A 13441-nucleotide genomic window follows, 5' to 3' on the forward strand; every position below is an offset into this window, starting at 1 on the left:
CATGGTATTCGTCTTTCTAGGCAGCAAGGCTTTCCCTGTGTATTATTTAGCTATGTGGCATAATAAGGCATAAAAATCTGTCTCAAAACCCAGGGCAGTGTCTTAAGGCAACACACATTTTTGGTTTTTCACTTAAGCGTTGTGTGGGGCAGCTTTGATTCAGGCTGGGCTCAGCTGGGATCTGCTGGGCTTGGCTCCAGTTGGTAGGTTGGAATTAGATCAGCTTTGTGTGCCTCCTCATTCTTCCTGGACCAGCAGCTATTCAGAGTATATTCTCTTTCTGGCAGATTATCGAATGCAAGGGGCCACATGCTAGCACATTTATGGGCTCTGCTTGCATCATGACTGCTCCCTTCCACTGACTAAAGCAAGACACATAGTCAAGCCCAATATCAATGTAGTGGAGAAATATGTTCTAACCGAAGGAGAAGAGATAGGTAAGTGGTAGATATGTTCTACCAAAAGATAAAAGAAGTAGATGACAATATTTTCTGATCAACACAGTGTGTATCTCACACATTATTCCTTGTTGGCATATCCATCATGACCTAGCACAAATGTTGCCTACTTTATGAACCCTCTCTATTGCAGTAGGTAGTCAGGTCTGAATTTTGAAATCCAGTGCACTCTGCTTACAGCTATTCATTAAGGCATAGGCTTGTCTCTTCTCCTGGGCTCTAAAGATCTGAGACAATTTCCTATTAAAATTTCTATTCCCAATATCTACCATACAACCTAGCAAGTTATACACTTAATAGATGTCATTTGTATAAGAATGTAGATAATCCCATTAAAGAAAACCAACCCCATTCAGATTCCATCAATGTCAGCTTTGTGTCTATCTGAAATGAGAAAACTACCATATGAAACTTAGTAGATATTGCATTAAATGTAGCACATTTAGGAAGTGTTCCCATATAAAACTGACTAGAAGCAGGTGATTTGAAATTAAATTCCATAATTAAATACCATATAGCATGCTAAAGTGTTCAGTACAATTTGCCAAGGGTTTTTCCACAGAAAGTGATGGAAAATTCTTTGGTAGAAATTGATGTTGAATGTTTAGAGCCTTGACAGAAAGAACTCCTTAGCAGTCAAAAATGTAGAATATTCTTCGCTTTCTCTCAGAGTTCTGCTACAAAAATCTCAGTTTTGTTTCAGTTTTTTTAAATGACACATATAACGTCAATTGACAAATGCCTGAATTTGTTCTAGATGATAATTATTCCATTCATCTACCCATCCTTTCCAACCTACTATCTATTCATTGGTCCATCTCTTTATTTATGTATTCTACCTTTCTGAACTAATTAACCTTAGTTTTATTTAAATTCACTCATAATCCAGTTTAGAATCAATGATTTATGATTTCAATTATATCTTTGCCAATATCCTGACCTGCTATTTCCCTTGGCCTTTTCATTGCTTTCATCTGAATGAAGACTGGATGAGTCCAAGTACTCATTTCCATTATGTCTCCTTGAACCATCTAAACACCATTTTGTTAAACTAAAAAGTCAATTCCCATTCCATTTTCTCCATCACAAATACACTATTGACTTTTAAGATTTATATTTTCAATACTCAATTAATTTCAAAACCACCTCATACAGTGGTTGTCAAGTTTGATCTATGAAAAAAATGATTAGAGCTTGGGATTGCTATCCATAGCATTAGTAGCATGCTGCTTAACCTTATCAGCTGCATGCTCAACAATTATAAAATGAGTACCAACTGAAATAATTTTATATTTAATTTATTTTGGATAATTAGGTTTGATAATTTTTATGATGAAATTTAAGTTTTGTTCTCTCTGTGGAATTCAGGCATGATGTTTCCAGTTCATTCATTTTCTTACCTTCCAATTTATATATCTCTTATCTGGAAGGAACCACAAAACATACATTATTACCAGCTGACATATTCAGATGGATTAATGTACCAGAAAAAAAAAGTTTTCACCTTGGAAAGGAGAGTCAAGTCTTGATGCACTGGGGAGTAAAATGGGTATGTTTTGAAGGAGAAGCAGGATGACAAGAAAATTTCTAGTACAGGAATTATAAAACTAAATGCCTTAAAGGTCAGGAAAAGTTACGCAGGCAAGGTGTTCAAAAAATGCTTGTAAGTAACTGTGGATAAATAGAGTCCCTATGCCACCTAAAAGCATTCCAGTCCTACATATTATGTCAACCAAATAAAATAGCCCAGAATCCCCACTGTGAGGCAACTGGTCCAGAGAATTGAGTTCAGTGGAGAAAAAGAACCCCAAGCAATAAGGCATAGAAGTCAACAAGCATATGTGGTGAGAGGTAAGCCCTCCAGCACAAAGGCATGTCTTTAGTGTTGTCTTATCAACACCAAGAGTTACCACGTTAGAGAATTATGTGCTTAAGGCTTTACATCTTTTATAAATATAAGTTATACTTCAAGGGATAAATTGTCATAATTCCATGCATTATCAAAAATAGAACTAAAATTTCCATAAGCAATAAGAACAATAACAACAAAAAAGGAATATCTGTTGGAACCAGCCTTAGGGATTGAAATTGGAGATTTAGTGCTGTCAGGAGATTTTCTCTTTTTCCTTTCTCTTTTTTCCCCCTCTCTCTTCTCTCTATCCATTTATTTTTCATTCTCTTTGCATATATGTTCCATTCTCTTCTGTAAATGGGTTTTTCCTATGTCCAGCAACCTCATCCTATTGATAATCATGAAAGAGAGAGAGAGAGAGAGAGAGAGAGAGAGAGACAGAGAGAGAGAGAGAGACAAAGGAACATTCCCTTTATTCTATTATTCATATATTAATCCTATAGCGGTAATCTAATTTACTTTATTTGTGTCACATATACTCTGCATGGACCAATAATTATTACTTGGATTATAGTTTACCATGAATGACCCTACTGGCCAGGCATAGGTTTTATTTCTATTCCAAGTGACCAAAGGATAGGTCTATAACCAGGGAAAATGAATAAGAATGCTTGATAGGCAAGAAAATTAATACCCACAGTTCACTACATATTGATGCTAATTAGACAGCTATACCTCAATGAAAATAAATTAATTAAAATCTTTCTTGAGAAAGAGAGAAACAAAGAGCATAAACGCAGGAGACTCAGAACCATATACTTGTTAAGATTATCAACAGTAAGCCCTGACTTCCTATCTGGAACATAGGAAAACATTTACTAGATTTTGTGATCTTGGATAACTTCTCTAAACTTCTTAAATCTCAGTTTCCTCTTCCATAAAATGGGAATAATTTTTCCCGGTATATCACCTACGTCTAAAATGGTCACCATATCATGATTCCAAGCACTTACCACAGAGTAAACATATGTAAAATACTTAGCATGGAAATAAACAGTATTTAATTTTCAATAAATAGTATTCAGTGCATTAAAGCTATAATGCATTGATCAACTAATGAGAGAATGAACAGGAGATCTCACTAGGAGGCCAGGGAAAAATACATGAAATTCCAAGGTTTGAGGGTCAAGAGATGAGCTTTGTGGTATTGTTCTTTCAAGGTTGACTACAATGGTATTGAAGTTTATTCTTTTGTTCTTCTACATTTTAAAAATTATCTGTCTAAATACAGTACAGCCCATAAGTGCAAAAACAGAAAACTATGAAAACAAAACAAAACAAAAAACAGTTGTATTTGTTCTTAGCTACATTATGTCATTCAAGCTGTAATTTCCATATGTTAGCTATGTTGCTGTCACTCCAAACAGAGTGATGGAAGTTAAAAAGTATTTAAAGGAACTTATGGTTATTCCCAGACATCTGGATATTTGTCATCATGGAGGCAAAACATCCATATATTTTCATCAAGAAGCTTTGAGATTAAGCAGCAATATACAGGGAATATCTAATAGGGGTTTCCTTTTTAATTTGTCTCTAGTGGTCATAAAGGTTTTGGTCTGGCATAATCCTAAATTTTTGTTTGTTTTGTTGTTCAATATGAAGATGTCATGTGCTCTGAATATATGCCATAAAGTTTTTCATAAACTTGGGATTAGTTGATATTGCTCTATCCTAGTGCTGTCTGTGGCAAAGGGGTGCATTTCACGATGGTGTCCATGGAGAAACAATGAAGCTACCAACTAGCAAAAACAAAGATCACTACTGTGCAGGAGCTCTATAAATATCAGGTTTTTGACACCTGGTTCCACATTAGTTGAGACAAATAGATTACCCTAAGGACCCAGGTAAAGACGAACAAGTTCATAAATTTAATGGTTTGCTTGCCTTGGATTTTTTTTCTCATAGCAAAGCTAAAATGTTATATTTTTCTTCTAAGATTTCATTTTTTCATTCTCATTTACCAAAGATATTTAAAAATACAATTCTTAATAAGATCCTGCCCAGTTCAGCAAAGATAATTAAATTTTGAGCAAATACATTTGACTGTTGGATCCACGTGAAGACCTATCCATGCCACTACTGGGCTGACTTTCCCTCAGATCCATTCCCTGCTTTCTTCTGCTAAGCTCTGTGTCACAGAGACTGAATTCTAGCTATTGCATTCTTAGCCTCCTGAATTAGCTGGCTTTTCTTGTGTTTGCCCAACAGAAGTTACTGGCAGGAGATTGGAGGATGGAAGAAAAGGAGAGGCCAGGGTATTTATTTTTGTGCCTTCCTCCCACAGGAAGCATCTCCAGCAGCTTTATCTTTTCTATGGCTCCAGCTCCTATTAGGAATAAAAAAAAATTACCACTATTTCAACTGCTATTGAGTCACTCCAGCTGCTGAACTACAGTAAAATCTCTTCCAGCCTAAGGCTAGGAGTGGAGGCATGTTTTTATTGCTAATCTTGAGGTTGCCTCACCACACTCAGAATTAATAGTTCTTCCATCATCAATTTGCTACATCAAATTCTCTTAGTTTTAAATAGTTTCTAGTTTCCTGGCTGGACGCAGACTGCAACACCAATTATCATTACTTGCCTAGTTGTTAAATAGAGAATATACCATTTTTAAACAAGTAACTCTAAAATATTCCAAATAGTTACCAATTTTTGTCATTAAAATTAATTTTTTTGTACTTGTACCAGCTTAATAAGATGAAAATGGGAAAATGTAGTTTTAAAATGTGAGCACATGGCCTCAAGCCACAATCATGGCCCCATTAAATAATTCTGCTCCCCTGATTTAGCTACAAAACATTGTATTGAAAGTTCAACTGCATAAGTTACTGTGTATATACTTATAAACTAGAACAAGCCTGTTTTTGTTCAATCTGGAAGGCACTTTCTCCCATATCCTCAAGGATCAATGTCATACAATGGCCTAATGAAATCCAAAGAGCCCCTTTTTCCCTGGAATTTTGCACAAACCAAAAAAAAAAAAAAAAAAGGACAAGTTTAACTGCCATATTCTCAGGAAGGAGGAAAGTTGGAGTGATGAAGGCACTACATGCAGGAATTCCAAACTCATATGCCTTGAGTCTCTTCTATATCTCCTTGAATGGACATTAATAAGGATGCATCTTATCGGCCCATTCTACTTAAATCTGTATAATTGTGCCACTTTAACATTTTCAGCCTTCCAATCCTGTGGATTGTTGACCTAACAACTAACCATTTTATTCTTTTATATAGAAAAGTTCCTCCACTTTGGGAGGCCGTGGCGGGTGGATCTTGAGGTCAGGAGATTGAGACCATCCTGGCTAACACGGTGAAACCCCGTCTCTACTAAAAATACAAAAAAATTAGCCAGGCCTGGTGGCGGGCACCTGTAGTCCCAGCTACTAGGGAGGCTGAGGCAGGAGAATGGCGTGAACCCGGGAGGTGAAGCTTGCAGTGAGCCGAGATAGCACCACTGCACTCCAGCCTGGGCAACAGAGCGAGACTGTCTCAAAAAAAAAAAAAAGAAAAAAAAAGTTACTATTCTGTTGAAATTGGGAAAATATTCTGCAGAGGATTCCCAGCTAAATCGATGCAGAGAATAAACCAGGAGACAGCTCATGACTGTGATATGATTTGGTTAATTTATTGAACTTCTATCTCTCTGCTAAGCTGTAAGTGCCATGAATATCTGCTCTAAGGAAAATACAGACATGAACAATTCAACTATGGCAGCAGGCTTGCCAAAAATCAAGCTACTAACACACTTACCAAAAACCCTTCTAATTAGCCATGTAATTACTCATAACTGACATTTGTTTAATATTTTAGAAAGGATGCATTTTTATTTATCTAACTTTATTGACACATTTCTGAGGAGGTAGAGTACATATCTGTAGCTCCATTGTATAGATAGGAACTGAGGCTCAGAGAGGTTTGATAACTGCCTCTATTCACGTCTATTAGTTTTTCTACAGCCTTAGTTACATCTATTATTTTGGCTCTAGAGCTATTCTTAAATTCGCTGTAGCCCTGATTTCAACCACACATTTTTGCATTATTAGTAAACCTTTACTTACAGGTAATGACCTACACATAGGAAACACTAAAGTCTGATTTAAAACCAGGTTTTCAGGGCTCCAAACTCTGAGTTTCTCATACTTCACCATATTGTATCCTACAATTTGGCCTTCATGTAAACATACCTTGACCCACGAAACTGTGAAACTGAGGAACTCCACTAAAATCTTACCAAAATAAGTTAATGGCTGCAGAAGACTACATAGAGCTGAGCTAACACACTTTGCCCTTCAATGCTTGCTTCACACTGTGATGTCCTTCCTCTTTTTGAGCCTCTTCTGAACATTTCTCTAATATTGAAGCTTAGTTGCTTTGGATGCTAACATAGTGCACCTTGGGAAAACTTTGATTGCTACAAAGTGCATTCTCATCTTGAGTCAAATTCTGTCTTTCTAATCGCAATTTATTAGACCAAAAGGTCCTAGCTCCACCTTTTGGGCTTAAATAAAACAAAGATTATCTCTGTTTCTCTTTTAAAAAAATACTTGCAAAAAACTATCACTCATTGAATGGCTTAGTCTCTGAGCAAAATATTGCCCGTCCGTTCACCCAGTCCTAATAGTGGAAAGTTTTCAGTTCCTTCTCCACCTCAGATAGTTTCCTCTGTATAGGCTTTGCTGAATCTACATAGCTCCTATTTTAAGGTTTCCAGCTCTAAGCACAATATTTCTGGTATGGTTATATTGAAAAAAAAAGAGCAAAGCCTTTTCTGGACACACTGGTATCTGTTTCTGTTTTCTATCATCTCATCTCTCTCATGTCATGCATCACTCACACAGAGCTCATGGCAAGCACAGATTCCTGCTGGTTCCCTCATGTCCTGCTGTAAAGTCATGTTTTCCCCTGACTCTTCTACTAGCATGTTTATTTTGAATTTAAATCAATTTTCATTTATTAAAATTCATCTTGTTTAGCAACATCATAGAGCATACATTTTGAAGTCAGATTTGGTATGGAAGCAGCTGCTCAACATTCAACAAAATCCATTTCCTCTTCTTCCTGGGCACACATATAGGTCACATGGATGTTTCCTACAGCTGCTGTACAAAGAAGCATACATTAGGTGGTTTGAAACAGAAATTGATTCTTTCACAGTTCTGGAGGTTAGAAGCCTGAAATCAAGGTATTGGCAGGTTTGGTTCATTCTGAGGGCTATGAGGGAAAAGCTGTTCCATGCCTCTCTCCTAGCTTCTGGTGGTTGCCAGAAGTCTTTGGCATTTCTTAGCTTGTAGGTGCATCTCTCCAATCTCTGCCTCCATGATCATGTCGCGTTCTATTTGTGTGTTTACATGGCCATCTTCTTCTAAGGATACCAGTCATACTGGACTAGGGACCAACCTTAATCCTGTTGTATGATCTCACCCTAACATAACTATAATAACAATATCTGCAATAACCTTATGTCCAAATAAGGTCACATTTTAAGGTGTTGTATGTTAGGATTTCAATGTTATTTTTTGAAAGGCACAATTTATTTTTTATTTATGTTTTTTATTTATTATGTATTTAGTTTTTCTTCAACTTTTATTTAAGTTCTGGGGTACATTTGTTGGATGTGCAGGTTTCTTACATAGGTAAACGTGTGCCATGGTGGTTTGCTGCACAGGTCAACTCATCACCTAGGTATTAAGCCCAGCATCCATTAGCTAATTTTTCTGATGCTCTCCCTCCGCCTAGTGTTCTTACCGTTCAGCTCTCACTTGTAAGTGAGAACATGTAGTGTTTGCTTTTCTGTTTCTGTGTTAGTTTGCTGAGGATAACAGCTTCGAATTCCATCCATGTCCCTGCAAAGGACATGATCTAGTTCCTTTTTATGGCTGCATAGTATTCCATGGTGTATATATACCACAGTGTCTTTATCCAGTCTGTCATTGATGGGCATTTGGATTGATTCCATGCCTTTGCTATTGTGCATAATGCTGCAGTGAACATACATGTGCATGTGTCTCTACAATAGAATGATTTATATTCTTTATAAATCATTACTGGGTGTATATACATACACCCAGTAATGGGATTGCTGGATCTAATGGTGTTTCTGTCTCTAGATCTTTCAGGAATCACCACACTGTCTTCCACAATGATTGAACTAATTTAAATTCCCATCAACTGTGTAAAAGCATTACTTTTTCTCTGCGGCTTCTCCAGCAACTGTTGTTTCTTGACTTTTTAATAATAGCCCTTCTGACTGGTGGGAGATGGTATCTCATTGTGATTTTGATTTGCATTTCTCTAATGATCAGTGAAGTAGAGCTTTTTCTCATGTTTCTTGGCCACATAAATGTCTTCTTTGGAGAAGTGTCTGTTCATGTCTTATGTCCAGTTTTTAATGGTTTTTTTTTTTTCTTGCAAATTTGTTTAAGTTTTTGTAGACTATGGATATTAGACCTTTGTCACATGGATAGATTGCAGAATTTTTTTCCCATTCTGTAGGTTGTCTATTCACTCTGATGATAGTTTATTTTGCTGTGCAGAAGCTCTTTAGTTTAATTAGATCCCATTTGTCAATGTTTGCTTTTGTTGCAATTGCTTTTGGCATTTTCGTCATGAAATCTTTGCCTGCAAGGCACAATTTAACTCATAATAACCATACTACCCAAACTTTCCTGCAGTTACATGTAGTTATATAAATTATATTACTGAGTTCTAGCTAGTGGAATGTGAGTGTATGTAACACTTCCACACTTGATTCACAAAAATATCCCATGCTCTTTTTTCCATTTTGTTGGCTAGATACAGCAATGAGAATGGAGAGCCACAGATGGAAAGGACCTGGGTCTCTGACTGCCTTTTGAGGACGGCCACCTCTTAGAGACCAATACTTGCCTTAGTTAAATGAGCTGAACATAGATGTATTTTATATTGAGCCATTATGCTTTAAAAAAATTATGGACTTTCCAAATCCTAACTAAATACTTGGATTGACTTCAATTCTATCATTAACCAGATGTGTGAACTTGGGTGTTATTTAAACTTTCAAAGTCTGTATACTTTTCATAAGAAGAGATGCAATACCTATCATTCAACCAGTTATGCTGAGTCCCTATTAGGTATCAGGACCATGGTTCTGTACAATGAAAATAAAGATCCCTTTCCTCAGGTAACCTACATTCTTCTGAGGGAGATGAATGCTAAACATGTAATCAAATATATAAATATAGAATGTCTAGAATGTCCATAGAGATATAGACTAAAAAATGATCAAGATTTACATAGATTAACTGGGAGGGAGGCTCTAATAAGGTACAGTAGTCAAGAAGGCCTCTCAGGTATGGGAAGGGGCTGGATGTGAGACAAATGGTGAGCAAAAGCCATCCATGTAAAGGGTGCTCTAGGGACAAGCTTTGGCAAGTTGAAGGAATTAAACCAAAACTAGTGTGATTAAAGCAAATGATAAAATGTCTGGAGCATAGGAAATAAGAAAGAAGAGAAATATGAGATGAAGTCAAACTGTAGGCAGGATGTATGTTATATAGGCTTATAGCTCATTACAAGATTTTGGTTCTATTCTAAGAGATTGGCAAACCAATTGGAGCATTTTATGATCTGATTTTTATTTTTAAAAGATTACTCTGATAACCATGTTTTCACTGGATAATAGGAAAAGCATGGAAGCATTTACTAGGCATTTGGAGTAATCCAGGTGAGAAATAATGGTGACTTAGACTAGGATGGCAACAGAGGACACAGTGAAAAGTAGTTGGGTTGTCTTATAGCAAATAAATATGTATCTGGAATAATGATGATGATGATGAGAGCAATTGCAACAAAAATAACAGTAATAATAATAATACCTGGCAATGAATTTAGCCTTTACAATTGGCTTTTACTCTTCAGCTTTCCTTTTCAATTTCATGCACTATAAACATTTAAATCTTATCTTATTAATATCCTTTCCTGGATCAGTAATAAAGTTGTCAACTTCTAATTCAAGAGTGAACACTTTTATTTCCTATCCATTGATAGCCATTATAATGATGTTAAATGAATGAAAATGATCTAATCCTACAACCATAAGCATAATAGAAAGTGAGACATCAGCAGACACTTAAAATATCTCTGAAAGATGAAAAACAGATGAGTTGATGGAATCCAGAGGGGGCTGCAGGTAAAGGGGAAACTAGGCTGCCCCTGGCAATAATGCAAGTGACCCCAGATGATTGGAGTGAAAAGTGGGTCTGAAAGAGAAAGAATAATTAAGTTCCTATGTTTGTAATAATTCTCCATCTCTAATCCAGAAGCCAGGTATTAACTACCAAAGCAAATATATACAACTAAGTAAACAGCCAAAGGAAAATCAGTCTCAGAATAAATTTAGCTGCCTAGCAAGAAATGGGGCAACTAGTATATTCTGGCATTTAGAAAATTTTAAGCACAGTGACTGACACTCAGCTCTGTATCCTGTTTGGCAAAAGCAACCTGTCAATAAAACTCATTTATGAACAGAGTGGTATCAAGCAAATATTTTATTGTATCATTTTAAAATGTGAAAGAAAACAAAAGTAATGTAAGAAGTAGAAGGGCAATTTATTCTTAGAAAGATGTGTATGTGTGTGTGTGTATATATATATATATATATAAAATTCATAAAATAAAAGAGTAGCATTACTCACCAAATTAAGGATCAAGGGAAAAGAAATAATTACTAATTACAAAATTAGTAATTGAAAAATTGTTAGAAGATGAAGTCAAAGGAATTCCTCAAATATATATTAAAACACATAATCATAGGAAAAAGATAACAATGACAAGGTATTCATTTAAGACACTCAGCACTGAATTAGTTTTCTGAGAAGGGAGCATACATGAAATGGAGATAAAATTATTTTTAAAAAGTACAAGAATATTTCCAGAGCTATGGTAGATATGCTTAAACTAAAAGAGCTTGACAAATATTGAACAAAATGAGTAATACTTTAAAAAATTGAGCCAAAATTGAATACTTTGAAATATTGAACAAATATTGAACAAAATGAGTAATACTTAAGAAATGCTTTCTAGAGGTATCATTGTAAAATCTTAGAAAACAGGAGTGTTCCATTTATCTAGTGCTGTGTGGCAGACCACTTCAAGATTTCGAGACTTCATTAATATGTGAAACAGCTTGATGTAGCCATTCCACAATGTATACATATATCAAAACATCATGTGTGCATCATGTTGTGCACTAATAGATACAATTTTTGTTTGTCAGTGTAAAAACTAAATTTTAAAAAACATGGCTTCAAACAACAGCAACATTAATTTTACTCACACATCTGCAGGTGGGGCAAAGCTCAGCTCATCTCTGTTCTACTTCATGTCAGCTCTGGCAGCTCAAAGGCTGGGGTTAAAGTCTTTGGAAAGCTCACTCACTCGCATGCCTGGGCAACGGGAAAACTAAAAAACATCTGTGCTGAACAGCTGGGTTTCCTCAGGCATCTTTGTATCTCTATGTGGTCTCTCCATGTGATCCTTCCAGCATAGTGGCTTCGGGATAGTTAGACATCTTACATGTTAACTCAGGCCTCCTAAGGTACATATCCAGAGAGAAAGAGAGAGAGAGAGAGAAAGAGAGAGAAAGAGGCAGACAGAAACGCTACCATTTTTCTTTTCTAATACACATTTTGTCTTAGAATTAAGATTAACAGAAAAGTTAGAAAGATAGTACGGGGTCCCTACATACCCTGCATTCATTTACCCCATTGCTAACATCTTAAATTAATCCATTATATTCATCATAACTCCTCAACCAATATTGATATATTATTATTAAAGAAACACCATCATTTATTTAGATTGTATTCCTTTTTCTCTAACATCTTTTGACGATTACTGGTAGTATTTTGCAGAATGTCCTTCATCTTGAGTTCATCTGATATTTTTCTCATGTTAAGACCAGGGTTATGTTTGTGTAGAGAGGAAGACCACAGAGGTGAAGTGCCATTCCCAATATAATACAGCAAGAGAACTTATCTTCTCACTGATGATGTTAACCTTGTTCACCTCACTAAAGTATTGTTTTTCAGATTTCTCTGTTGTAAAGTTATTTTATTTCCCTCCTTTCTATACTATATTATGTGGACACAAGTCACTAAGCACAGCCCATATGTGAGGAAGAACTCATGCTCTGCTTCCCTGAGGGTGCAGTATCTACCTAAATTATTTGGCATTTTTCTCTATGGAAGATTTCTGTCTTCTCTCTCATTTAGTTTTCAATCGTAGTGGTACAGACTCACAGATATTTATTTTGTACTTTGGGTTATAATTCAATATCTTATTCATTTTGTTGCTCACATTGTTTCAGCTTTGACCATTAAGCATTTTTTCAGTTAGAAAGTGTTCCTTTGAATTACCGCCATTGTTTTGTTTTTTGAGCAATACCCTAAATTTTAGCACATCAACATACTCCAGGTTCATCTTGTACACTTTCCCTCCCAGCTCTAGAACCAAACATTTCTCAAAGGAGCCCTGCTTACTTTTATTGGAGAATGGAGTTAGAAACTGTCTGAACGCTGGAGTACTCATTGCTTTTAGGCTTTCTCAGCAAATGGAGCAAGGAAATATATGTATGCATACTAACACGTGTATTATATATACATATGTATATATATACACACATATATATAATTTTGCTTTTATATATCTATCAATATCTATATTAAGCTAGACACAAGTCCCTACAAATATCTCTGATTCTAGTCTGGTACCTTATGCTTCATTCCAGCCTTTCCTCCTTGCTTCTCTGTAACTGCTAACTCCAACAGAAAAAACCTGGCTTCTACCACCTGCCATCTATTTACTTATTGTTCAATTCTAGTATATATGTGCAGAATTTCAGAATTCTTAACCTGTACTCCCATGACAAACAACTTTAGCAGCAACAATCCAATGCTTATGTATAGTTTCCTGGTCTTTATTCTTCCAGTTTTCAGTCATTTCCAAAGTTATTTAGCTGAATACTTATTTTCTCCACCCTTTTCAGTGAGATTATATCACACGTTTGTAATACAGTTAGATTATTTTGACACA

At 35.8% G+C, this 13441-nt stretch overlaps 1 long non-coding RNA gene across 4 annotated transcripts in view; it reads right to left on the reverse strand.

Annotated features, from left to right (window-relative positions):
* Positions 1-11743, reverse strand: part of LOC107986634 (uncharacterized) — a 117445-nt gene extending 105702 nt beyond the window's left edge. For all 4 annotated transcript variants that reach the window (XR_001744301.2, XR_001744303.1, XR_001744302.1 and 1 more), the window contains exon 1: positions 11685-11743. This is a non-coding gene — a long non-coding RNA (uncharacterized LOC107986634). The remainder of the gene's footprint in view (positions 1-11684) is intronic.
* Positions 11744-13441: the final 1698 nt, after the last annotated feature.

The sequence above is a fragment of the Homo sapiens genome, chromosome 6, assembly GCF_000001405.40.
Source record: "Homo sapiens chromosome 6, GRCh38.p14 Primary Assembly".
NCBI classification, from domain to species: Eukaryota; Metazoa; Chordata; class Mammalia; order Primates; family Hominidae; genus Homo; species Homo sapiens.